The following is a 25,591-nucleotide window of genomic DNA, read 5'->3' on the forward strand; positions in this document are numbered from 1 at the left end:
GACCATGGGAAACAAGATAAGACCCAGGCTTTGCCCTAAAGGATTTAAAAATTAAGTAGGAAAGAAGTCATGGTAGCACTGTAATAAGAAGTTAAGAGGTAGTAAAGTCTGGAGAAGCATTTTCATAATAGAAATTGAGAAAAATTACTTCCTGGGTGATCCAAGAAGGCAGGTCGAAGAAGTAGGTTTAAACTGGTCCTTAAAACTCAGTCATTCTTTAATCCAGGTAATTCTTGTTAATTTAGAAGAATGTAAATAGTAAGAGGAGGCATTTAGAGTGAAAAAGTGGAAGTCTTCCTTCACTCTCATCTTGAGGTGGGAGCCAGGACCAGGAGAGTGAAGACATGGAGGAAGGAAAAGTTCAGGGCGATTTGGGGGTAATGCAGCTTATTTCAGTTCCATTTGCCTGGAAGGAGAAGGGGCCAGGACATGGGCTAGGGGACCTAGAATGCCATGGAAGGAATCTGATCTTATTTAAGAGGCAGCAGAGAACCATCAGAAGTTAGGCTGGGAAGTGATGTGACTTGTACACATGGCTAGAAAGATAATGGTGGATTGGAGGACGAGGACCTGGAAGGGGATAGAGCAATTAGACTCACAGGAGTCAGGGGTGAGGTGAAAAGGGCTTCAGAGTAGCAGAGTGGAAAGGAAAGGTGGGATGGGAGGAAATAGGATTCTTGTCTGTACCTCTTTGGGGAGGGGAGGTACCAGATCCAGAAAGTGGCTGATGTCACAGTTAATTCCTGGTGTCCAAGCTCAGGCACCTGGAGACTGACTTCTGTGGGTGGGGAGGCCTCCCCAGTCTCTACCTCCCCAGTGGTGGACAGATGCTTACTGAATATTTTGGCGATGACAGAGCCCACACAGTCTATGAGAGGCTCTCATTGGGAGGAACCCTCGGTTTCATTGGAGACACGTTAGGTGTGAGGGGATGTTGAGGGGATGATTGAAACTGGCTGATGTAAGAGAGGTATAGAAGTAGGAGAAGGGATGCTTAGAGCAGGGACAGAAGTCGTTGGAGGAGGATGGAAGGGAGCATTGGGTAAGGTAGGAGAAGCACTTAGGGACTCCCCTCCCCCTTTCTTTTCCTCCATGGTGGAAGCTGGAGGGAAAGAAAGTGGGAGGCCAGGTGCAGTGGCTCATGTCTGTAATCCCAGCTCTTTGGGAGGTCAAGGCGGGTGGATCACCTGAGGTCAGGAGTTCGAGATCAGCCTGGCAAACACAGTGGAAACCCTGTCTCTACTAAAAATACAGAAATCAGCTGGGCGTGGTGGCAGGTGCCTGTAATCCCGGGTACTCAGGAGGCTGAGGTAGGAGAATCACTTGAACCCAGGAGGCGGCACCTGTATCCCAGCTACTTGGGAGGCTGAGGCAGGAGAATTGCTTTAACCTGGGAGGCAGAGGTTGCAGTGAGCTGAGATCGCACCATTGCACTCCAACCTGGGCAACAAGAGTGAAACTCCATCTGAAAGGAAGAAAGAATCCAGCCTGGGCAATAAGAGCGAAAGAGAGAGAGAGACAGAAGAGAGAAAGAAAAGAGAGTGTCCTTGGTGTTAGATGCCACAGAGAGAGAGGGGACAAGAAGATCGAGGAGTCAAGAGGAGCTTTTGAGCCAGATGCTGTGGCTTGTGCCTGTAATCCCAGCTACTCAGGAGGCTGTGGCAGAAGGATATTTTGAGGCCAGAAGTTCAAGACCAGCCTGTACAACATTGCAAGACCCAATCTCTAACAAAATTTTAAAACTTGTCCGGGCATGGTGGTAGCTCAGGAGTTCAAGGCTACAGTGAACTATGATTGTGCCACTGCACCCCAGCTTGGGTGACAGACAGTGAGACCCTGTCTCTAAGAAATAAATAAAAATAAAAAATAAGAGGAGCTTTTGGAATTCAGCTATTAGGAAGTTACTGGTGCCCATGGAGGGAAGTGTTCCAGGCAAGTGGTGGTGTTAAAGGTAGAGAGAAGAGACATTAGCTCAGTGCTTCCCAAATAGGATAGCCAAGGCGCCAAGCTGCAGACTGATCTCAGGTGTGGCCCAGTGCCTCCCCCTCAGCTGGAACCCCAGACCAGACTCCTGCAGTTTCAAGCAGCCTCCTCCTTCTATCCCGGTGTACCTTCCATATCTCAGTACCACCACGGGGAACCTCAAAGACTCGACAACCCATTTCAAAAGCCTGGCTATGGAAAGAAGAGGAAAGGGAGGAGCCGCAAGTTTGGGAGAAAGTGTATTTGGGATGCTGGAGTGGGAGCCTGTTTGTAGGAGCCATAGGGCAGGCTTGAAGATGAATGGGAAAGAAGATGAGAGGAAGAGGAGGTGAGACTGAGAGCTTCAAAAGCAGGTAGGCTTCTTACTTCATCCGTGGAGGGTGCTGTATAGTAGGTGTCCCCCCAGCTTTAAAGACGAGCCCAAGACTTGAAGATGAGGTTGTAGGGGAATGCAGAGGTGAGTTGGCAGAAATGGATAGTGTGCATTGGAGGACCAGATGGCTTCTTGGTATTCTCAGGAAAACCAAGGGCAAGTTGGCTAGAGTGGGGGCCTTGGAATTTTGTTGGCAGTAGGGAGACTGCAGGAACTTCCTCTCCATCCTCTCATAAAGCCCAAAATGTTGGGAACCTTTTAGCTACATGTTAGATAATGAAATGTTTGTGTATTGATTGAAAGGAAGACATGGCACACCTGGGAAATTTTCCCTCCTTTTATTATCTGGAGCTGGCTGATGTTGAAGAGGGATAGAGCATCAAAATACGCTTTGTGTCCTGGTGTGGTGGCTCATGCCTGTAATCCCAACACTTTGGGAGGCCAAGGCGGGCAGATTGCTTGAGCTCACGAGTTCGAGAGCAGCCTGGGCAATATGGCGAAACCCCATTGCTACAAAACATACACAAACTTAGCTGGGCATGGTGGTGGGCACCAGCTTCTTGGAAGGCTGAGGTGGGAGGATCACTTGAGCCTGGGCATGGAGGTTGTAGTGAGCCATGATCACGCCACTGCACTCCAGCCTGAATGACAGAGTGAGACCCTGTTTCCAAAAAAAAAAAAAATGTGTGTGTGTGTGTGTGTGTGTGTGTGTGTGTTGTGTGTATATATATAATATATATATATATATACACACACACACAACACAGACACAATTTGTGTGTAGCTAGGGGCAGATATTGAGATATTGAAGTGATAAGTAACTGGGGATGGGGAAGTACTGGTCACTTAAGAGCATATAGAAAACCGTCCCAGATTGTCTTTTCTAATCTATTTTTGGAGGAGGTTTTTATATATCCCATGTTTTATATTATTTCTCCCAAACCGGATTAGATATAGTGAACAATAAAATAAATGCAGTTTCCAAAACCTTGGTGTTCAGAAATGAAGGGAACCATGAGGGGAGTGAAGGGGACTTGCCCTTTGCTCTGTGCTGTATGCACTGCCCAGGGAACAGCCCCAGGACACTTCTATAGTTTCTTTCTGAGACTCACAAGGTGTTAGCAATGCTCTGAGCTCACTCAATTGACAGATACGTTTAAGGTTCTCAAATAAATTTCAAACTTCTAAATTTTTCCTTTTCATTGTGTGCATAATGTACAGATTAGGAAAATGATCTTCTAATTGAGAAGTATACTTCAAAGTTTGGAAATAAAATCATAAAAATGTTTTCCTAAACATAGCCTTTTTCAGGAGTTTTTGTGGATATGGTCAAAGGCAATAGCTCTAATTATCTGGGGTCCTCAGGACAGGAAATGAGCTCACACTCATGCTCTCAAACTGTGTCACAGCATTTTTGGAAATATTTTCATTTCTATTCAAGAGGAGGAACAAGGCCCCAAGTGTTCACCCTAATTGTAGAAAATAAACATAAACATGAAATTCACAAAAGAACAACTATAAATGGCTGCAAATATGTGAAACTATGTTTAACTTCCCAGGGAGTCAAAAAATACTAATTAATACAAGAATCATCTTTGGCCCACCACATTATGATTTTGTCTGAATAAGCCTCTTCAATGCTGGCAAATATGAGGTAAAATGGCTGCTCCGGCTGCTCTTTTTGGCTGGTCTTAAGGGGCGCAAATAGCTCCACCCCATTTGGAAAGCACTTGGCAATGGCTGCTAAGACTTTAGTGTTTTTCATAGCTTCTAACCTGCTAAGAAGTAGATACTTGTTCCCATTTTGCTGCTGTGCAAACAGACTTGTAGAGGTCAAGTATCTCGTACAAGGTTACATTGATGGTGATTGATGGCGCCAAGATTTGAACTTGGTTGTGAGTCCAAAGTCTAGGTCTCCCATTCTACCCATGTGATTTTACACACATGCCTGATATAATTAGCTCCTCCTCCTCTCCAGAGAAGGGCAGCTGACCTTTGTTTCCCAGTTCAGAAATCCTGGTGTGAGTTATCAGCTGGGGTTGAGGGTGGATAGATTTGTTCCAACTTTACACATTGGACCTGAGAATGTACTTTCCTGAATAAACAGTTGTAGAAGCGAGTGACAGTTGTGGTTGAAGTTGTTCCCCCAGTGCAGTGCCCCAGAGGGGTTAATGACCTTTCGTGGGCTGTCCCAGGAACTTCATCCGAGGAAAAGGTGCTTACCTGCTAACATTTGACCTGTTTGGAAATTGGGGATTGTTTTTCCTCATTGAAATTGGTGAGGGTTGGAAGAATACGCAAACGAATGTTTGGTGTGGAAGAACGCTGGAGGAGTAAACTTACTATACTCACAATTTGGATTACAACATAGTTTGGTTAACCCAGCTCTGGTGAACCAAATGTACAAGTATTATTTCCTTATGGTTCATCTTATAAAATATTTTATAAATTGGTTGCTTTCTTTAAGCTCTCCACAAATGAAAAATCAGTCCCAAAAATCTATAAAAGACTATTTCAGCGTTAATTGACCATTAAGGAAATACATACTAGGCTGCATGTGGTAGCTCACGCCTGTAATCCCCACACTTTGGGAGGCTGAGGCAGACAGATAGCCTGAGCTCAGGAGTTCGAGACCAGCCTGGGTAACTTGGCAAAACCCTGTCTCTACAAAAAAAAAAAAAAAAACAAAAACCAAAAAAAACATTAGCCAGGAGTGGTAACGTGTGCCTGTAATCGCAGCTACTCAGGAAGCTGAGGTGGGAGGATTGCTTGAGCCCAGGCTGTTGAGGCTGCAGTAAGCCAAGATTACCCCACTGTACTCCAGCCTGGGTGACAGAGTAAGACCCTGTCTCAAAAAAAAAATTTTTTTTGAACAATAAAGAAATACATACTAAACATTTACACAGTTATTTTGGGAATTGCAGAGGGGATATTTGTCTTCTTTCCCATCCCCCTTTCTCTCTCTCTCTCTGTGTGTGTGTGTGTGTGTGTGTGTGTGTGTATGTGTGTGTGTGTGTATGTATGTTTAAGATGGTTAGAAATCATGAAACTCCACCGGGCACAGTGGCTCCCTCCTGTAATCCCAGCACTTTGGGAGGCCGAGGCGGGAGGATCACTTGAGGTCATGATTTCAAGACTAGCTTGGCCACCATGGTGAAACCCCGTCTCTACTAAAAATACAAAAAATTAGCTGGGTGTGGTAGCACACACCTATAATCCCAGCTACTCGGGAGGCTGAGGCGGGAGAATTGCTTGGACCCGGGAGGCAGAGGCTGCAGTGAGCCAAGACTGGGCAAAAAAGCGAGACTTTGTTTCAAAAAAAAAAAAAAAAGAAATCATGACATTCCATACTTTTTCCTTTACTTCCCAAATTACTTTCCAATAATAGCATGGTGGAAAGATTAACAAAGGGGGCTTATGATATGGTTGACAGAAGTTGGGAGGCTTTTGGGGTCCTACCTAAGCCATCCTAGAGACCTGGGTATTGCAAGGCACTAAATCTTAGATAAATATCTTAGACCTCATTAAAGTGAATGGGGCTATTATATGTAGGAATGTCCATAGAGAATGTGTGGAGAAAGCAGAAAGGTGTAAGTTTGAGAGATGGCAACTGTGATTAAGGAACAGATGGATCTCATTGATAATGAGGAAGAAAAATGAAGTAGGAATGAGTGGTATGAAAAGCAGATCAATTTACAAGTCCAGATTTGTTGGCAGTAGTGCTTTCTGATGTTTGGGACTACACTCCCCTCTGTAAATTCCAAAAAAGGATATGTCAGGGTCATTAAACTCAGCCGGATTTGCAAGACATACCTTCTAGAGGTGGTTGGGTGTTAGTCCCTGAGATTCTTATCAAGGACCCTGCGGGAGTGTCCTCTAGCCCTCTGAGCTAGGTGGAACCATCCCGCCCACCCAACAGGTGAGGAGCACAAGCTCAGGGCAGTTGTTGACCTGCCCAAGGGCAAACAATTAGGAGTGATGGAAACAGGACTAGGGTCCAGCTGCACTCTACAGTGGTAAAGCTTCATCTTCTACCACTCAGGGAAGTACACAGCCAGCAGTGCTCCGGAGATGATGCACATCTTTTTGCTATGTTTTTATTTTATTTTATTTTATTTTATTTTTTGTTTATTTAAAAAAAAATAGAGACAGGGTCTCACTATGTTGCCCAGGCTGGTCTCGAATGCCTGGGCTCAAGTGATCCTTCCACCTCGACCTCCCAAAGTGCTGGGATTACAGGCATGAGCCACTGAGCCCAGCTGAGATGATGCACCTTGAAATACTTCTTTATCTAAAACCTAACACCTGACTCATAATAAGCGATTCACTTGTTGATTGTTGACAACATGAATATTTAAACATCAATATTAAAAAATAGCCCCATAAGCACCTTTAGTGTTCCAGGGCACTATATCACGCTGTTCTAACTCTTCCTACACTGAATTCTTGTGCATCTGATATTATCACCTCGATTTTATCCTTGAGGAAGCCAAGACTTTGACAGTAAACCAGAGGCCCAGAGTCACCTCCCCAGAAGGTGATAGAGCCAGCATTCCAGCTGTGGGGGATTCTGGTTCCACTGGGCTGCAATTTCCCTCCACTGAAAATTGAGAGCCAAATTGACGTGACAATGCATGAAAATGCCATTTGGGGCAAGATTCAAAGAAATGGTGTGTAGAAGTAAAAGATGAGTAACATCCCTCAGCATATATTCTTTTCAGTGGCATTTCTTTTCTTTTCTTTCTTTCTTTTTTTTTTTTTTTTTTTTTGAGATGGAGTTTCGCTCTTGTTGCCCAGGCTGGAGTGCAATGGCACGATCTCGGCTCACTGCAACCTCCGTCTCCTGGGTTCAAGCGATTCTCCTGCCTCAGCCTCCTGAGTAGCTGGGACTACAGGCGCCTGCCACCACGCCTGGCTAATTTTTTTGTATTTTTAGTAGAGACGAGATTTCACTGTGTTAGCCAGGATGGTCTTGATGTTCTGACCTCAGGTGATCTGCCTGCGTCGGCCTCCCAAAGTGCTGGGATCATAGGTGTGAGCCACTGTGCCTGGCTTCAGTGGCATTTCTATCCCTTTCACTTAGGAGGCATTTTTAGTACCTGACGTAGAATCAGAGCCTTAATAGCTGGTTGATTTACAGTCTCAGAGGTGGTGTTAATTGCTATCTTAATCTTTCTTTGCTTTTCTGCACTGTGCAGCTCTATTGATTCTGTTTTTCCCAATCTCCAAATTCCCTTGTGTTTTTCTTATGATATTTTGAGGTGGTACACTTGGTTCCTTAAATATCATAGGTGAGATGTTAACAGTTCTAGGTGGAGATACACGGGCAATCAATCTATTCACCCAACTTCTCTGTATGTTTGGAAAAGTTCGGAATTAAAAACCCAGGATAAATAAACTAAGGCCTATTTCTTCAGCCACATTCAAAGTCCCTGTAGTCTCACATCTGGAAACCCTGCAGTCTGCCTAGGCCGTGTCCTCCACCTCAGGCCAAGGTTGCAGCAGGTCCTTATTCTCTTGTCCATGATGAAGCTTTTCGTGGGGGGTCCGGGTAGCAAAATACTCTCACCCTGTCCTCACTCTGTGGAATCTTCCATACAACCCGAACTAGGGATTGCTTGTGTGTCCCCCTCCCACCTGTCACTCTTTCCCCACCCCTCCCCACGTGATGCTGTGGGAACCCAAACCCCAGCACCTCCTAGATGAGGGCAGTGGTAGGGCGCTAGGTGGAGATGGGGAGAGGAGGAAAGACAGGGAGGGGACTCCTGGCTCTTGGGGTCCAAGGGGATTCCAGAGAAAGTGAGGGAGGGGAGCCCCAGTCCCAGAGATTGAGGAGGACAGGATCTTGGTGGTCCCAGCTGGGCCAGGGGCCCCAGGACCCTAGCATTAAGGTGTAGCCCCTGTGCCACTTGTGGATGAAGCTGCCCTTGGGGATCCACTCACTGGCAGACGTGGTGGTGTCTGGGTGTTAAATCTATACACCATATGTAATAATGGTGGGCATCTGTTTGGTGCCTTAGTTTGTTGCCTCGCTCATACTCCTGACCAGCCCCACATCCTCGTGCATGTGTGGGTGTAACTTTACATTGGATATACAGATGCGACTGGACTTTAAATGGGCTTACATCTGGATAAACCCATCGTAAAGTCAAAAAAATATTAAGTTGGACCATCATAGGTTAGGGACTGTCTGTAGTTTTTACTTATTAATTATGTTATTGACTTAAACTATGTTCTGGGTGGGATGCATAGAGGAGAGTTACCATGGGAGGGTAAGAGTATAGTAGGAGTATTAGAGTGCATGAGCTGAAAACACTTTGCTTTCTACTTTACAACATAAGCTTTTTTTGTTATAAAATCCTTGTTAGGGAGAGTGAGACGCTGGTGCTGAAGCTTTGGAGTGGAAAATGGGTCATCTTCACAAGGGTGTTCCCAGATGATGCAAAGGAGAGTTAATGCAGGAAGGGGCTGGGATGGGGAGAGTCTGTGGAGTCTGAGACAGCCCTTTAATAAGCAGTTCCTTGGACCTTGCATGGAAAGAGAGGAGAGGAACTTGTGTGGAAAGAAAGAAGCCCAAGGCTTGAGGGATGGAGAATATTCTACTAACAGGCCACCCCTTGTCCCTCCAGGTGGCAGTGTGTCTAGGGGGGTCTGGAACTTGGGTTTTGACCAGGGTTTGCAGAGCACTGAATCCCAGCCGCGTCATGAGTTGGCTGTGTCCCTATGCCCCAGGGCCCCCCTCAGGGAGAATGGGGATAATGATAGTCATAATGATAAATGGGGACAGATAATGCTTTGAGAAGCACTGAAGTAACATTTTGTCTGAATGGACTGTGTTTTAAAATCAGGAGTTGTTCGAGGCTGAAATGAAATATCAGCATCATAGAATCTCCAGGATATAAAAAGAAATTAGAAATGTTACCAAAATAATATACAGTATTATCACAACTTTATTAAGATGTTTAGTAGCCAAATATTTTAACCAGCATCTTAACAAGTGGATCTTTTCTTACAGTATTTAATTTTTTTTTTTTTTTTTTTTGAGACGGAGTTTTGCTCTTTTGTCCGGGCTGAAGTGAAGTGGCGCGATCTTGGCTCACTGCAACCTCTGCCCCCCCAGGTTCAAGCGATTCTCTCTCCTGCCTCAGCCTCCTGAGTAGATGGAATTATAGGCGCCTGCCACCACACCCAGCTAATTTTTGTATTTTTAGTAGAGATGGGGTTTCACCATGTTGGCCAGGCTGGTCTTGAACTCCTGACCTCAGGTGATCCACCCGCCTTGGCCTCCCAAAGTGCTAGGATTACAGGTGTCAGCCACCGCGCCCAGCCCTTAAAATTTTTTTTATAGGAAATGACTAAATGGAGTCAGGGGAGAGGCCAGAAATGCATAAACAAAAGCAATTAGTATTTAGTGCGGGTTTTGAATTTACATGGTTGTCAATTCCCTTTGCAAAAACTTAACAAATTACTTTAACATAATTGCCAGTTTGTGTGAGTTCTTGATCAAATAGCTATCAACAAGATAATGTGCATATATATGTGTGTATATGTGTATATATGTATATACACATATACACATATGTGTGTATATGTGTATACACACACACACTAACTTTATAAATAAGTTGAAATTTATATGTAGGATATATGTAAGCAGTATAGTATATAAATATAAATTACATTTTAACTTTTAATTTTATAATAATTTCAGTCACAGAAAATATACAAAAATAGCACAAATAATTCCCTTGTACTTTCCCCTAAATTTGCCTTCTTTCTGTAACTTTTTTTTTTGAGATAGAGTCTGGCTGCAACGCCCAGGCTGGAGTCAGTGGCGCCATCTCAGCTCACTGCAGCCTCCGCCTCCCGGGTTCACGCCATTCTCCCACCTCAGCCTCCCAAGTAGCTGTGATTACAGGCACCTGTCATTACACCTGGCTAATTTTTGTGTTTTTAGTAGAGACAGGGTTTCACTATGTTGGCCAGGCTGGTCTCAAACTCCTGACCTCAAGTGATCTGCCTGCCTCAGCCTCCCAAAGTGCTGGGATTACAGGCGTGAGCCACCGCGCCCGGCTCTGTAACTTTTTTCTGAGCCATTTGCAAGTAAGTTGCAGGCGTAATGTCCCTTTACTTAAGGGGGCATAATTTGTTAGATTGCATCTCTGATACTATAGAGCATATTTGTGACTCTAAATAAGATGAAGGGACAAGATACGTTCTAAAAACAAGGACATTCGCCAAAGTGTAATTACTGAAATCGGGAAATTAACATAGAGACAGTACAATTGTCTCATCTATGGAACTTATTAAGATTTTGCCAGTTGTCTTACTGATAGATGTCTTTTGTAGAAGAGGAAAACATTTTTACTTTTATTTATTCATTTTTTTTGGCTTTAGGATGAGTTCAACATCACATCTTATGCTTAATTGTCTCTTAGTCTCCTTTAGTCTGGAAGTTCTTCGGCCTGTCTCTCATGTTCTTGACTCTTTTTTTTTTTTTTTGAGACGGAGTCTCGCTCTGTCGCCCGGGCTGGAGTGCAGTGAAGCGATCTCAGCTCACTGCAACCTCCACCTCCCGGGTTCACGCCGTTCTCCTGCCTCAGCCTCCTGAGTAGCTGAGACTACAGGCGCCCGCCACCACGCCTGGCTAATTATTTGTATTTTAGTAGAGACGGGATTTCACCGTGTTAGACAGGATGGTCTCGATCTCCTGACCTCGTGATCCACCCGCCTTGGCCTCCCAAAGTGCTGGTATTACAGGCGTGAGCCACCGCGCCCGGCCATGTTCTTGACTCTTTAAAGATTACAGGCCATTTATTTTGCAGAAGAACCTTGACTTTTTTTTTTTTTTCTGGTGTTTCTTCATGAGTAGCTTTAGGTTGTACATTTTGGGCAGGAAAGATAGGGTGTTCTTATTGTATCTCCTCAGGAACGTTATCTATTTTTCCCATTATAGGTGATACTAATTTTGTTTTCTTGGTTAAAATCATGTGTTCCAGCTTTCTCCAAGAAAGTTACTACTTTTCTTCTTTGTAATTAATCAGTACTTTATGGGACATACTTTGAGACTATGTAAATATCCCATTTCTCATCAAACCTTTACCCAATGGTTTTAGTGGCCATTGATGATTCTTGCCAGAAACAATTTCCACTGTGACAGTTGCCAAATTGATGATCAGTTTTTAAAAATTGACAGTGTAGGGCAGGAGCAATAATTTTTTCAGTTGCTAGATTGTTTCTGTGACACTATAGAACATATTTGTGCATACTAAATAAGGTGAAAGTATGAGATATCTTGGGGTCTCTCATTTTTAAAAAATAACAGGTTTATTTTCTCTGAAGCTTTTATAGTCTTTATTATGTCTGGATCAAAGATGATTTATCAAGAAACTATACTGCAAGATTTTGGAGTTTTTTCCTTACGAAATGTTGAGATAGCAAAGTTGACATTCTGCTCAGCATTTTTCATAGGATGTGAGTAACTTCCTAATTAGGTTTTTATCTTGATGACTCCTGTGGAGTTTTTCACAGTCTGGATTTTGCTAAGTGCAACCTCATGATATCTTTTAACATGTTGCTCTATCCACTGAAGTTCTTGAAAATTATTAGATTTAGATTTTTGGTCAAGATTCAGAGTGTTTCTCTCTCTCTCCCATTCCCTCTCTCCTTTTTTAACTTATTTTTGCAAGACTGCTTCATATAATAGATGTTGTTTTCCATCAGAGATACTGATTATCTCTCTGTGATGTCAGCAGCTACTAATTATCAGCACCCACATCCTTTACCTCATTTGCAGTTTCAAAATGGTGATAGTCTATTTGTATCATTCCCTTGTCTATCAGTTATAATATTTTTAAAAAGAGAAACTACCCCTCACCAACTCTTTAGTTACCTCAGATCAGAGGTCAGCAAACTAGAGTCTACAGGCTGAGACCAGTTTGCCACTTACTTTGATAAATAAAGTTTTATTAGAACACAGCTATATTCATGCATTTGCATATTGTTTAGGGCAGCTTTGGGGCACTACAAGGTGCCCAGTTAATTAGCTGTGATTGAAGCCATATGTGGCCCACCGAGCTGGAAAGATTTTCTGTCAGGCCCTTTGCAGTAAAAATTTGCTGACCCTTGTTTTAGATCATATGGGGAAAGCAATTTAAATGCCTCATTCTTTCCCTTTATATACCAGTTTCCTCCTGGTTTCATGGCACCCTGTAAAGGTGACCAATGAAGCTTAAAATATTATGAAATAGATTTAAACCTACTTAATGTCTTTCAATCCATTTGCAATTATTATCCTTATTGATACCCAAACTGTCCCATCTTTAGCCAGGGGGAGCCTCTTCAGGCTGGCTTCTGAGTCCTTGTGACACAATCCTGGTGGTCTTGGATGCTTCTCTGCTTACTGGTCTGGCAGGATACTCCAGCACACCTTGTACATTTCTTGTCCCAGGCCAGGAGCTGGCCATTTCTAGAAGAAGCTCTGTCTTCTTTTAGTGGAGAATGTTACTTACAGACCACTGTCTGAACCCTAGGGTTGCATATATAGCTACTAAAGGTTATTGTGTTTAATGTTATGAGTGCACTAAGCAGTTCTGTAGCGACTAGAGGTAGAATATAATATGCCTATTGTAATTTTAAAACAATAAGCATTTATTTGCTCTAAAAGGATATACCATTCTCTCTCTCTCTTTTTTTTTTTTTTTGAGACAGAGTCTCACTCTGTCACCGAGGCTGGAGTGCAGGGGCGCGATCTTGGCTCACTGCAACCCCAGCCTCCCAAGTTCAAGCAATTCTCCTGCCTCAGCCTCCCAAGTAGCTGAGATTACAGGCACGTGCCACCATGCCCGGCTAATTTTCGTAGTTTTAGTAGAGACAGGGTTTCACCATGTTGGCCAGGCTGGTCTTAAACTCTAGACCTCGGGTTATCTGCCCATCTCGGCCTCCCAAAGTGCTGGGATTACAGGTGTGAGCCACCACGTCCAGCCTAGTCTCTTTTTTTAAATGTACTCTTAATATTGGTGATTCTGTTCATCAATCCCCCTACTTAATAGTTGTATAATTTTACATGATAATTGCTTTCTACATAAAATTAATATTTTTCATGCTTATATTTTACTCTTTCAACAAAAAATAAGCATATATATATTTCTACCAACTGATACATTTCAAGAGATAAGGGTCACAAGGAGATTTTCACTCAAGTTGCACGTGGAATGTTTACCTGTTTTTGAAAGGGCATGCTCAGATAATGACAGCAGATTTGAACAATGCTTCGTTTCCTTAGTTCTCACATTGCTACATGGATGGGATATGTTGGTCACCTATGTGATTACATCATCATCAATCAGGCAGAAGTTCAGTCCTTCTGAAGATTCATGCTAAAGCTGGATAACAGATTTCCATTGACTAGTATAGGCTGAAGCCATACTTTGATGTATTCCCAGGATCTACCTCATAGTTGCAAAGATTAAATAAGGTTGCATATAAGCATGTAGAACAGTGCCTGGCACACACAGCAAGGGTTTTGTTAAGATAAACTCATTATCTGTTTTAGTGGTCCTGGGTTTCATGATCTTGCTAGCCTTTATAAATTTTTTTTTTTTTTTTTTTGAGATGGAGTCTTGCTCTGTCACCCAGGCTGGAGTACAGTGGCACGATCTTGGCTCATTGCAAGCTCCGCCTCCCGGGTTCACGCCATTCTCCTGCCTCAGCCTCCCAAGTAGCTGGGACTATAGGTGCCCACCACCACGCCCGGCTAATTTTTTGTATTTTTAGTAAAGATGGGATTTCACCGTGTTAGCCAGGTTGGTCTCGATCTCCTGACCTTGTGATCCACCCACCTCGGCCTCCCAAAGTCCTGGGATTACAGGCGTGAGCCACTGCACCCGGCTAGCCTCTATAAAATTTAATCTCTACACTGCACTATTCCTAGGACACTAACTTATGTTTAATTTTGGATTGCTAGTTTTCTAGAATACATATTCTTAAGTATGTTGGCTGTCATATTTCTCTTTTGATGATCATTGTCGCTAACACCATTCTTTGCACACAAAGTCTGCCTTCTTTCTGCATATGTGTGAATATCTGTTACTGTTGATTTACATTTCCCTCTTTTTTATGCACAGTATGTAATAAAATAAACAGCAAAAGCTGTCTTCCTCTTAGACATTTTAGGTTAACAAGGGAAATCATTGTTCACTTCGGGTATCTTTCCATGTGTAATTTTTGATAAGTTGATTACTGGTGGTTGTTCATTTTTATTTTGCTTTTTATGGAAGTTTTCTCAATTCGTCCCAGAATTGAGGCTGTACATCCTTTAAAAATAAATAAAGCCGAGGTCTGTGCTAGAGTTAGAACATTGAATCTGGCTCGCTGGTTTGTGCTATGGACTTTCCTTCATCTGTGTTACTGGGAGTATGTGAGCAGTTGTAGAGGCCATATCGTTTTATAGGCCTGTGCCAAGGAAAATACTTGAGAATTACATTAGCAACTCCAAGGTATTTTGGCTGCTCTGAGAGGACACATGATAGTTTTCCAGTTATATGAACAAGAGCTTTTGTTTTATACTGAAGTTTCTTATAGGCTATGAGAACAATAGTGCCTCTTTAAGTACTTCCCAGAGTAACATCCTTGGGATGTTATTAGGTAGAACGTGCTGGGCTTCATTTCTGCAGGACTTCTCAGGCCTTTAACATGCCAGTGAATCTCACAGAAGGGAGTGTATTATGCAGGATTCCTTGGGTTTGTTTGACCAAGGCTTTCCTTGTGTTTGGAATACTACCCCTCCACCTACTCCCCGTCACCCCATGCGTAAGTCTCACCTCATACTTCCCTGCCTCCCAGCCTTAGATGTGGTTTCCCTGCTGTAAGTTCTCAGCTCTCTGTACTTGAGCACATTTCACTGTCGGTAAATATGTGGCCTAATAATGATCTGATCCTCTGGATCTTAAACTCACTGAAGAAGGCAGGCAGTGGATTTGTTTTGTTCCTTCCCTCCTGTGTTCTCAGCACCAGATATAAGGAAGGCCGTCAAACAAGTATTTGCCGTCCAAGTGAGTGAGGCACCCATAGAACTTTTTTTTTTTTTGAGACAGTTTTGTTCTGTTGCTTAGGCCAGAGTGCGGTAGCACAATTTCAGCTCACTGCAACCTCTGCCTCCCGGGTTCAAGCAACTCTCCTGCCTCAGCCTTCTGAGTAGCTGGGACTACAGGTGCGTGCCACCATGCCTGGCTAATTTTTGTATTTTTAGTAAAGACGGGGTTTCACCATGTTGGCCAGGCTAGTCTCAAACTCCTGACCTTGTGATCCTCCTGCCCTGGCCTCCCAAAGTACTGGGATTACAGGTCTGAGGCACCACACCCAGCAGAACATTTTTTCTCCAAGTAGCATCTCATGGTGAGAGGTGAAGCCAGCTGGACTTCCTTGGTCGAATGGGTACTTGGAGAACTTTTCTGTCTTACGAGAGGTTTGTAAAATGCACCAATCAGCACTCTGTAAAATGGACCAATCAGCACTCTGTAAAATGGACCAATCAGCAGGACATGGGCGGGGACAAATAAGGGAATAAAAGCTGGCCACCCCAGCCAGCAGCAGCAGCAACGCTCTGTGGAAGCTTTGTTCTTTCGGTCTTCACAATAAATCTTGCTGCTGTTCACTCTTTGGGTCCGTGCCACCTTTAAGAGCTGTAACGCTCACTGTGAAGGTCCACAGCTTCATTCTTGAAGTCAGCGAGACCATGAACCCACTGGAAGGAACCAATTCTGGACACAGTGGGACTTGTGCTCCACAGAACCCACTTTGAGAACCATAGATTGGTCTATGGAACTGCTCTAGTCTTCGTACTTCATTTTCAAGTACAAATCACTAGAATACTATAGATCTTCATAATTCTAGTTAATTTACTTCATGTTTTCAGCTAACAGGGAACTGTTAACTAATTTAAAGATGAGGCTCAGCACTTGAAATAGATTGTCTTAGTGGCCCACAGAGAATCAGCCAGGATTAGGACGTTAATTTCCTGATACCTGTCCTAGGGCCAGTTACCCACCAGGCCCGTCTGCACCCCACTCTAACATTGTTAGTTACATAAATAGGAACCAGTGTTTTAGACTGTTGGGGGAGGGGGGAAATCAGATGCCCCTTTGTACACTAATTAACGCAGGCAGAACAAAAGGCCCAGCTTGGTTTTCAAGTTCAAGTTTGGCTCATATGTGGTCCTCAGTGAAGATTATGATCTTGAATAAATTAAAAACAAATGTTAAAGAAGTCATAATGAGGTAAAAAAAGGAGTTCAGGATTCTGGCCTTTAAAGACTCAGGGTAAACAGACTTCTCTTTAAAGCTGATGTTCACCTCCCCTCCTCCACTTTACCAGTCCCTCTTTGGAACTTCTGTGTTCCGTCTTCGTGATAATTGTTCATTTTTACTTCAGTGAGCCAAGTGGGTAGGTATGTACGTCTATGGTCTCATGTCGGTGAGCACAAGCCTCATTCACCAAGCTCTGCTGAACTAGGAAAATAGTACATTGAGAAGTCTGGTCAAATCCACTAAGTCAAAGGGATTTGCACATTTGGCAAAATGCCCTCTTCCTCAGGAATGACCACCGCAGCCTGCTGCCCCAGTCCAGCTTCAGCTTCCTTTTCCTCCAGGGTGCTCAAGGCGAGTGTTCAGGAAGGGAGCACACAGAATCCCCCTGTGTTCGTCTCCCCCAGGCCAAGTTCCCAGTACATTCTTGACCAGGGCAGACCAGATGTGGGGAGCTCTGGGGCCAGTGCGTTTATGCACTAAATGGGACTCTGTATGTATATGCCAAATTAAGTCTGCAGGCAGTCTTTACGAGCACAGTAACCGTTTTACAGATGTAAAGAAGCTCAAAAGTCCTGTGTATGTTTGTAGTCTCATTCCCTGTAAAGTTTCCATGAGCACATTTCAAGGCCTCTGTACACAGAAATTGAGTTCCTCTGCTCTCACCAGCTTACCTCTTCACTGTATCAAAGTTCGCATCTTATTATTCTGTGTGTGTATGTGTATACGCGCATGCATGCACATGTGTGCATGATGAATAAGTTCTCAGCTTGGGGCAGCATTGCTGCCCAGGAGACATTTGGCAATGCCTGGAGATATTTTGGTTAGAAATATTTTGGTTAGAAATATTTTGGTTAGACTTGGGTGGGGCTGGGGGCACATTCTACTAGCATCTAGAGGGTAAAGGTCAGGGATGTTGCTAACCATCTTACAATGCATAGGATGGTTCCTCACAACAAAGAATTATCTGGCCCCAAATGTCCATAGCCGAGGCTGAGAATCCCTGGTGTACATATACACATATTATATATACACACAAATAAAAACATATTCAGTATATATTTATTTACTGGAAGAGGCCTTAGAGACCCATTTGAATTTTAGTTATAGTTGAGGAAACTGAGGCTCAGAGAGGTGAACAGTGTTCCTAATGTCACAAAGCTCTTGAGAAGCATAGCAGGCCCAGAACTTGGGCTTCTGGCTTCTCTGAACAGTGCTTTTTGCAGTGATAATAGTTCTTTCCGAACTACTGCTAGATTGAGAACCCTCATTCTTTGGGTGTTCTCTGTGTCCCAGAGGAATATTGCATGCATTACTTTGTTTAGTCCTCAGAATGACCCTGCAAGTAGGAACTGGTTATTCATCCTTTACTCAAGAGGAAATCAAGGCCCAGAGAGGTCAAGATCCTTGCCTGAGGCCATTCAGCAAGCCTGGGGCAGGGACTGGCTTGGAAACCAGATTCACCCAGCCCCTGCCATGTGGCACCACCTCCCCCAGGGCCATGCTGACAGCTTGTGTAAGCCTGAGGGACAAGGCAGTGAAGATGCTGAACTGGGGACCCATGGGGTTCCTTCCAATAGTTGCATTCTGAAACTCCAGTTTGGAAATGGTTAATAATGCCTGAACCTTGTCCCTAAGAGGCCCTGAGCTATTGAACCCATGGGGTTTTCGGGTCTGCAGCCATTGCTTAGGAGGCCTCTGGGTGAAGAGCAAGAATGATGGTGGCCAATCTACCTGCAAGGACCAGGGGAGCTGGGTAGGGGCAGGATGGAGGGGCCCTGACTGGCTCTCCTGCCTTCCCCTCCCCTCCTCTCCCTCCTTCCCTCCTTAAGGGAGGTCTCGGGGTTAATGCGAGGTGAGGGGCAGTTAGTGGTAATTGTTCATCATTTGTGCAGATGGGGGCATGGCTTTTAGAGGTGCCTTCTGGGATGGAGAGAGCCTGGGAACTCAGAATGCTACATGGCGGACAGAGGAAAGCAGGCATTTCCAGGGAAGGAGGAAGGACTGGAGTTGCTCCTGGGAAGGTCAGCTTTACAGACTCCTGGCCATAGTGGTGTAAGGTGCTAGCTGAGTGGGCAGAAGGCGGGGCAGGGGCTAGGAGAGCTGACAGCAAGTGTGGTGCATGGCCCTCAACGTCCACCCCAGTCTAGTCCAGGACTCCTGCTCTGGCTTCTGCAGCCAAACCCAAACGGACTGGTAAATGACTTCATTTAACTTCCCGTGCCCACCAGCATGGCACTTTAGAACATAGGAGACCCAGTCCCCTCTGGGAGTCCTCTCTCTCCCCTCTCCTTTTGGGTCTGGTGTCCAGGAGACCATGCACATGACTCCGTGTGAAGCTGAAGCCAGTCCAGAACTCCGAGGCCCAAACCCCTGCAGGCTGTCTTAGTGCTTATTCAATGTATTTTGTCTTGGGGTGATATGAGCCTGTTTAAAAATAATGTCTGCCCAAACTCTTGCCTGAGAGAGGTTGGGGGCAGAAAGAAAGCTCACATTTGAGTCCTAAGAAAAGTCATTGTGTCTCTATTGCCAAAATCATGATAGCTCAGGTCAGGTTAGTTTCGGAGGTGTGATAAAGTTTTTATCTCTTTTGGAAAAAAACTCCCGGGATTTTCTATCGTGGACATATCTTTCATCTACATGTCCAGCTTTAAGAAAATGTGATTATGCCTCTCTGTAAGTGGATAATTGAGCAGAACAGCATGCTAATTTCTCTCTGTCAGGCCTTGGTTGAAGGCCGGCCCTTTGGAGGTGGTCCAGGCCCTGTGGCCACAGCTCACCTACTGAAGGGCCTCCTGGTACTGCCACAAGCTGGGACCCAGCCACACTTTCTGTTTGTCCTCGGAAGGTTTGCTCCACCCTAAGGTAGATCTCTGTTACTGAAGAATGTGTCTTTAAATCTACCTGCATTTCCATGTCTGGTTACAAATTGTCTTAACCCCAGGCAAGTTGCTGTCTCAGAGTTGGCTGCGAGGATGTTGAAGCATAACCCGGCTTTGTGGTAGAGGAGGGCTTTGTAGCACCGTGGACAGTGCGGTTCAGCCTTCGATCAATAAATAGAAGCAGGCTCCAGCTTCAGGAAAAGGGGAGTCTTGGACCGAGAGAGATTGGCGTTTGAGACAGGAAACACTTCCTGGTGTTCCTGCAGTGTCTGCGGCTTCTTCCCAGCCTTTTAGGCCTTTCCTAGGGTTTACAGACCACCCCTCGAGCCTGTGTTCTCCTCCTGATGGTGCCCAGGCGCCCGGGGCTCCCTGGGCAGACCATTCACTTCGGGAACCTGGTCTCCTGCTCAGCCTGCAGCTTCTGTAGGTTTAGCTGTCTGTTGGTTGCTCTGGGCTACTCAGGGACCAGTTGTGCAGGCACTGTCCTCTTTTGGCCTTTCTTCCGGCCTTACCAAGTTGTGGTGGTTGTCTGCATGCCCAGTGAAACCTTCTGCAGAAAGGACCAGGAAGGGCACACATTGGCTGCCTGCACTTGGGAAGATCTGAGGGAATGTGAAAGGAAACAGGTTGGCAGTTCCTGGTGCCTTCCAGACCAGTGCCTGCCCTCTCCTTTGCTTGTGGTACTGGCCCTTTGACCTACTGGAGATGGGAGAAGCCCCAGAGAAATTCAAGATCGCCTTCAGGCTTCCTTGACCCAAGGCCTGTGGGAAGGCTTGCGCCCTGGGATGCTTAGGGTGAAGTGTAACATCTGGCCTTCTCCAAGTCCCTCTCACAGCAGGCCTGGCCTGACATCCTGCCGGCCTTGCTGGTTTCCTTCTGCCCTTCACAAAGTCCCTCCTTGCTGGCTTTCTCGTGTGCCAGGGGGACCCAGCTTCCTCCACAAGCGTCTCTGTTGCTTCCCCCTTTGTTTGGCCCCCTCCTGTCCCCAGGCTCCCTGACCGATGCCCACTGGCTCTGTAGGTTTCACAGGCACCTGGGACACTGTCACATGGTGGGGGAGTTCACGCCATGTCCCATCTCCAGCCAGTGCTTTTCTCACTCTACCTAAAGGCTTTTTTCCTTTCAAAAATTTTAAATTAGCATACAGAAAGATTGAGTCTTTGGGTATACAGTTTACGAGTTTTAACACATGTACAGATTCATGTAACCACTGCTATAGTTCCAAATTCCTAAAATCTCCTGTGCCACCCCTTTGTAGTCATGCCTCCTTCCCCCTGGCAGCCACTGCTCTGTTCTCCAACACTCCAACAGAGATTTGTTGGCCGCATTGTGTGCATCTTCTGAGAAATGTCCTTGGTACCTTCTGATGTAGGATAAAGACATGCAAATCACCTCCACTCTCCTGTAGCCTCCCATCTTCCTTGGGATCACAGGCATGTGTCACCACGCCCAGCAAATTTTCGTATTTTTAGTAGAGATGGGGTTTCACCATGTTGGCCAGGCTGGTCTCGAACTCCTGACCTCAGGTGATCAGCCCACCTCAGCCTCCCAAAGTGCCGGGATTGCAGGTGTGAGCTACTGCGCTCGGCCTTATTTTTTGAAGTCTTGGTACACCTTTTTTTAAAAAAAGAAGCAGGCTGGGTGCAGTGGCTCACACCTGTAATCCTAGCACTTTCGGAGGCCGAGGTGGGAGGCTCCTTGCTTGAGCCCAGGAGTTCCAGACCAGTCTGAGCAACAGGGCGAAACCCCATCTCTACAAAAAATACAAAAATTAGCCAGGTGTGGTAGCAAGCCCCTGTCCCAACTACTCAGGAGGCCGAGGTGGGAGGATCACTTTAGCTTGGGAAGCAGAGGTTGCAGTGAGCCTAGATGCGCCACTGCACTCCAGCCTGGGGGACAGAGCAGGACTCTGTCTCAAAAAGAAAAGAAAAAAGAAGCCGCTTAGTTTTGTTCCAGAAGATCATTTGCAATCATCAATGAGAACCCGCACATCATTCCTGTTTAATTGGTGTAAAACAGGGGTGGCTGTCGGGGTCTGTCCGTGTGGAGGAATGAGGACCACAGTCCACTGGCCCACAGGTACATGCATGCCCTTAGTGGGCCGACTTCTGGGAATACACCAGCATCCGTAGAGCTAAGGATTTACCGTATGCCTTGTCCTCAGAAAAATCGCTTCCCCTGCCCATGTCGCCCTGATTACTGTAACAGCTTCAACGCATGAACCAGATTGTTCTCATTTAATGAAGTGTTGACTCTGGAGTCTCCAGGATAACTTGCAGTTGCCCAATTTCCTGGTGAATTTTCAGGTTCTCTAGTGGTTTGGAGACATGAATGAACTCAGGAATTTTTTAAGGTAAATAAAGTCTATGAAGTGTGATTTACTTTCTTGGTTTTTGGCGCCTGAACTTGAAGTGATGGGCCCTAGCTAGAGGGGCATGGAAGTCAGTCTGAAGGCTGCAGTTATCTTTGCAGCAGGGAGAAGCTGGGCTCTGAGCTGTGAGCAAGGGAGGTGCTTCGGGGCCGGTGGAGCTGCTTCACTGAGCTGGGAGCTCTCCTGCCCTCCCCGGGCTTGCTTCCCCTGCCTCCTGGGATGGGGATGGCTGGCCTCAGAGGAAGGGAAAGATTGCTGTTGGCAGAGGATGAACTCACCCCTGCGGTGTTGGTCTTTGGTCTGGGGAGCCAGGTTAACACGTGAAGCTCAAGGAGCACAGAAGTCCCTGTTTCTATCTTTGTGCAGTTTTGGTCCAGGGTAAAAGGATGAGAGTGCCTTTCCACACTGTGGCCTGCGGGTTTGTGGTGATTAACTTGTGGTGGGGCCTGCACTCTAGGGTCATCCACTTGGTCAGGTTGGTGCCAGGATGCTGGCCTGAGAGCAGGAGCCAGGGCTGGAAGCAGGGCTGGGCGTGGCTGGGTCTTTCGAGGCAGAGCTCAGAGGCTTGTGGTGATCAAACAGAGCCGGAGGGGGAGCCAGGGGAACAGTCCCACATGGGAAACAGAGGCTGAGGGTCTAGCGAGGCAGGCCCAGCAAGGCAAGCCAGGTGTTGGGCCACAGGCCTGGTGGTCTGCCCTCAAGATAGAGGTTTGGAGAGCAGTGCCCTGAAGTTCCCCCAAAAGTTGAGATTTAAAAAAAAAAAAATCAGAATACACATGCCTGGCTGGGTGTGGTGATGCATGCCTGTAGTCCCAGCTACTCTGGAGGCTGAGGCAGGAGGGTTGCTTGAGCCCAGGAGTTTGAGGCTGCAGTGAAGTATGATTACGCCACTGCACCCCACCCTGAGCAACAGAGGGAGACCCTTCTCTCTCAAAAAAAATAAATAAATAATTTTAAAAAAAGAAAGTCCGCATGCCTGACTTCTGTGCCCAGAATCTCTGGACATGGGGCCCTGGAACATACATTTATTCAAAGCTCACTTTTAAAAGTTGGTACACAGGTAGGGTGGCCACAGTGGGATCCCAGGCTGCTCTGTGGATCCAGGTAGAAGGCAGCCCCTGCTGGAAGGTCAGGCACTACTTTACCCAAGCCAGGCCACCCCTTATTAAACACCAGCTTCACTCGAGCAGTGGTTCCCAAATTTTCTTGGTCTGTGAAGACGTATTTTCTCTATTTTTAGCCAAACAGAATGATTTTAGTCCATCATGGGTCAAACCTTCTGATATTCTTTAGTCCCCATGGAAGACATTCTTGTTTCTCCTTTAAGACCATCTCTGGGGTCACCTTCGGTTGCCTTGGGGGTGTTTGAGCCTCTGCCGCAGGGACACTGATAAGGACATGAGTTGTGGTACGCCCCGTTTTGTGTAGCAGCTGTCAGTTTGTTTCTGGAATGAGACTGAGCTTCTAGAAGTCTGGGCATTTGGTTCTGGTTCACCTTTGAGCTGCTGGCACGGAGGAGCTTTGTAACACAAGCTTACTGAATTGATGTTTTAGTGAAAGGGAGAAAAGTCCTTTTCAGCTCCCTTTTTCCCACCATTCCCCGCTGTTCATCCGAATTACTCATCCACACATAGCCAGTAAAGGGCGCCGTAGACTGAACCTGTAGGAAACCAGACTCCAGGCAGCCCCAGAGCACACTCCCCAGAACCACTAAAATAAACACAAAATGCACTCTCGCCGGATTCTGAGAAGGAAAGGCCCTCCAAGGTCGTAGGGTCCAGTGGCTCTCAACCCTGGCTGCACATTTGAATCATCTGGGGAGCTTTTTAGAAATGGTCATGCCCAGCCTCCACCCACAAAGATTTTGATTCAACTGGTCTGGGGTGGGGCTCAGGCTTTGCTGGAATTTTCTAAAAGCTCCCCAGGGGCTTCTAATATGCAGCCAAGTTTGCAAACCACTGCTCTAGTTGAAAGCTCCTCACTGAATATCTGAATGAAAGGATTAAACAGATCCCTGCCTAGTGAGGTATTGGCCCCCCTCCCCCATAAGACCATGGGCTGGTGGTAGAGTTGCCAGCAGTTCTTTCCTGGATTCCCTATGCCCCTCCATCACCCAGTCACATCATCCAACAGACCTACCTCGGACCATCCCTCCTGCCCGACCAGAAGCAGACTCCGAACAGAATCTAATTTCAGATCGATCAGTGGGCAAACATAAAGGATGTGATAAGCTCCAAAGTAAGATTTCCTTGTTTCAGGCCATACGTTTGATTTTGAATGTTGTATTTTTGTATTAATTTGTTAGGGCTGCCATAACAAAGTACCGCATGCTAGGAGGCTTAAACAACAGAAAGAGTCATTGTCTCACAGCTCTGGAGGCTGGAAGTCTGAGATCAAGGTGTCGGCAGGGTTGGTTCCCTCTGAGGCTGTGCGGGAGGGATCTGCTCCAGGCCTCTCTCCTTGGCTTGTAGGGGGCTGCCTTCTCCCTGTGTATTCAAACAGTCTTCCCTCTGTGGATGTCTGTCTCTGTTCCTGCTTTTTATAAGGATAGCAGTCCAATTGGATTAGGGCTTACTGTAATGACCTCATTTAACTTGATTATCTCCTTATGTGGAGACAGGGTCTCCACATAGTACACATACATAGTACACCCTGTCTCCACATAAGGTCACCGTCTGAGATGTACTGGGGGTTAGGACTCCAACATAACTTTTTTTGTTGGGGGTGTATGAGGGGGATTCAATTCAACCCATAACAAATATCTTCCAAGCCGGCCACTTTGACTGCAGCCTTTAACGGGTAGCTGCATATTTTTTTTTCTTTACACCCACTCTCACCCTCAAATTGCTCAAAACACCGGAGCCCAGGGCTGGTTGCCTGTCAGCGTTCAGCACGAACCTGCCCACTGACTGGCGTCTGCTCCCTGGCTTCTGGGTACACTCAGAGGATGATTGTTTGCATTCAGGCTCCTCCAGAGATGAATATAATTCCCCTAATTTCCTCACAGTGGCAGCAGTGGCTGAAGGGAGAGGTGAACTGTGAGAGATGGGCCCCTCTTGCCTAAGATGAAGGCTGGGGTCAGGGGCAGTGTTAAACATCAGCTGGAGAGGATTGTGAAAACTCTTTGGACAAGAGGGGTTTGTTTTAAAGCGAGGCTACTTTGGAATGGACATCTCATTAGTGAACAGGTTGGGGAGTGGCAGGGTTATGGAGAGGAGGAGGCGTTCCATTCCCGTAGCTATTCTGTATCAACCGCTGGGGTCAGAGGCTCTCAGCTGGAGTCCACCCACAGACAGAATTCAGGGAAGCTCCAAAAACCTGAATGGAAAGAAATTACATTTTATTTTCACTAACTGAAAATTGGCATTTTCTTCAATTATGAATGTAGACTATAAACCACAGGGACATTAACAGTTCTCATGACTGTCACCAGTAGCAATTGCAAAGTGCATTTTTAAAAAATGTTTGTGGGTACATAGTACACCGATGTATTTATAGGTACATGAAAGCAAAGTTAATTTTTTACAGTGTGGTAGAGTCATTGTAAATGTCTTGATATACTGTTATCCTTAGCAATTCTTAATACTTCAGAATTAAGGTTGTTATGAGATTCGCTGCTAGGTCTTATTTAATATGTTAATTAAATATTACCATGGTGGAAAATATAAAATATTTTGAT

General features: G+C 45.5%; 1 protein-coding gene across 2 annotated transcripts in view, besides 2 other annotated features; it reads left to right on the forward strand.

The window, feature by feature from the left end:
- Nucleotides 1-25,591, forward strand: part of TCF7L1 (transcription factor 7 like 1) — a 176,996-nt gene that overhangs the window by 6,002 nt on the left and 145,403 nt on the right. The gene's annotated exons all lie outside the window — the stretch shown is intronic.
- Nucleotides 20,085-20,675: an enhancer, noted in NCBI's record as "H3K27ac-H3K4me1 hESC enhancer chr2:85386601-85387191 (GRCh37/hg19 assembly coordinates)". NCBI's record gives its function as "activates a minimal SCP1, AML or CMV promoter by ChIP-STARR-seq in naive H9 embryonic stem cells {active_cell/tissue: H9 hESC(naive)}" and the evidence as "EXISTENCE:reporter gene assay evidence [ECO:0000049][PMID:30033119]".
- Nucleotides 23,517-24,016: an enhancer, noted in NCBI's record as "H3K4me1 hESC enhancer chr2:85390033-85390532 (GRCh37/hg19 assembly coordinates)". NCBI's record gives its function as "activates a minimal SCP1, AML or CMV promoter by ChIP-STARR-seq in naive H9 embryonic stem cells {active_cell/tissue: H9 hESC(naive)}" and the evidence as "EXISTENCE:reporter gene assay evidence [ECO:0000049][PMID:30033119]".

This window comes from Homo sapiens, chromosome 2 (genome assembly GCF_000001405.40).
Source record: "Homo sapiens chromosome 2, GRCh38.p14 Primary Assembly".
Taxonomy (NCBI): Eukaryota; Metazoa; Chordata; class Mammalia; order Primates; family Hominidae; genus Homo; species Homo sapiens.